At 40.5% G+C, this 1,734-nt stretch overlaps 1 annotated feature.

Annotated features, from left to right (window-relative positions):
* Window positions 292-834: an enhancer, noted in NCBI's record as "OCT4-NANOG hESC enhancer chr13:48387787-48388329 (GRCh37/hg19 assembly coordinates)". NCBI's record gives its function as "activates a minimal SCP1, AML or CMV promoter by ChIP-STARR-seq in primed H9 embryonic stem cells {active_cell/tissue: H9 hESC(primed)}" and the evidence as "EXISTENCE:reporter gene assay evidence [ECO:0000049][PMID:30033119]".

Here is a 1,734-nt window from a genome sequence, read left to right as displayed (position 1 = left end):
CCGCTTTGTCCCAACAGAATTAAGCCAAATGATGACATTGCAAAGAGCCTCTTGGCTGGCTATTGGTCTTGTTTTTATTGTTACATGTGGGCCAAGTGTCTCAGAACTTTTCTCATAATCTTGTGTGCCTCTCGCCTGGATTGGCATTGGAGAGCAATAATGCAACTTCAGTGCGATTCTGCAGATTTCCTTCCGAAGTGAGAGAAGAAATAGAATCACATTTTGATAAGATATTGCATTGTTGACACTTCTTTTGATTTCTCTGGGGTGCCAATCTTGCAGCTTTCTGCCCTGTTTTAGCTTTAGATATAACCATTCCTGGTTATTATTGGTTCAGAAGAGAGAGAGTGATATTTTGTCAATTCAGCCCATTCGGGATGGCTGGAGAACATTCATGGCACAGTTGGAAAAGTAGTCTGTTGCTTTTATTGAAAGCAGTGATCTTTCCTTTGGCAGGAACAAAACCCATATTCTATCTTATCTGGCAGAGAGAAACACTTATGCAGACAGAAAGACAGTTGCTTTTAGCTTTTAGAAAACATACCAATTGAGAAGTAGTTTTGTGATGCAAATTTGGTGCCAATGACTAAGCTTCTTTGAAGAGTGAAAGTTGGAGAGTTGCTTTGGCAGAGGCCTGGAGCCCTCCAGGATATTCTGAACAGATGCTGAAGTTCTTACCTTTCTTGGTTTGAAGGTTGTCTCTCTCACACTGAACATAGTATCTTTGTCAAGAAACTTCAGGAATGTAGTACATTAAAATTTAACCCCCTCTGAAAGTAAACCACCTGTAGAAAGGTCAGTATAATATCTGGGTTTAAAGCCACTTCCTCCACTTACTGTGTGAACTTGAACAAGTTACTTCACTGAGCCTCAGTTTCCCCATCTGTAAGGGGGGAAGGTAATAGAATTGACCTAATAGTGTTATAGGGATTAAAGGAGATAGGGCACGGTGTCTGGCAGGGTGTAGTAGCTCAAGTAGTGCTAGCTATTATTACTATTATCAATCAAATATCTAACAGTAGCTGGTATTTTGTGATCATTCTAAGTTTGAACTTCTAACTCTCATCTCATGTTTTTGTTTTTTGTGTTTTTTTGATGTAATACTCCATTAATGATGTCCAGCCAAAGACCTCCAGAAACACTCTTGTACTTGAATAAGGCTGGTTCATTACTTGTTGCAGTGAGGGAGAACACACATTATGGGAATTATGGGTGTCTCAGTAAGAGAGTGTTAGAAAGGACCTTGTAAGATTGGACTTTGATTGGGTGATTTGAGGCAGGGTCTGAGGTAGCAGGGATTCCCTCTAGATTGGATGGTGTTAGAAAGCCGGGCAATTCTCTGATTATGGATCTCAATGACTTTTATCTATAGGAAGGGGAAACTATAGGGAGAATAAAGTTGTCATTGGTAAAGAAGTAGCAGTCCTCATTTCAGCCAAGAGATAGGGTGTTTGGTATTTTGTGGGTGGTACAGTGACTTGCTTTTGTCTGTACTTAGACAAAATTATGAAGTGGCCCTGCTTGGTCTTATGTAATCATGATCTCAAAGTTGCCTGGTCAGAGGCTGGTTTTCTGTGAGATGGTTCATGTCTAATGGGAGAATCACAGGGTCTACCTGTGAGAGCCAGGCCAGCTTCTGGGTGTCAGGGGCTGCTCTTTTTCCTTCCTCAATTGTTACAACTACAATTCTAAAGAAATATTCCAATGATTTAAATGAGCAACACATCTTTCCCT

This window comes from Homo sapiens, chromosome 13 (genome assembly GCF_000001405.40).
Source record: "Homo sapiens chromosome 13, GRCh38.p14 Primary Assembly".
NCBI lineage: Eukaryota > Metazoa > Chordata > Mammalia > Primates > Hominidae > Homo > Homo sapiens.
The sequence above is the reverse complement of the archived record's forward strand: the minus strand, read 5'-3'. Positions and strand labels throughout refer to the sequence as shown.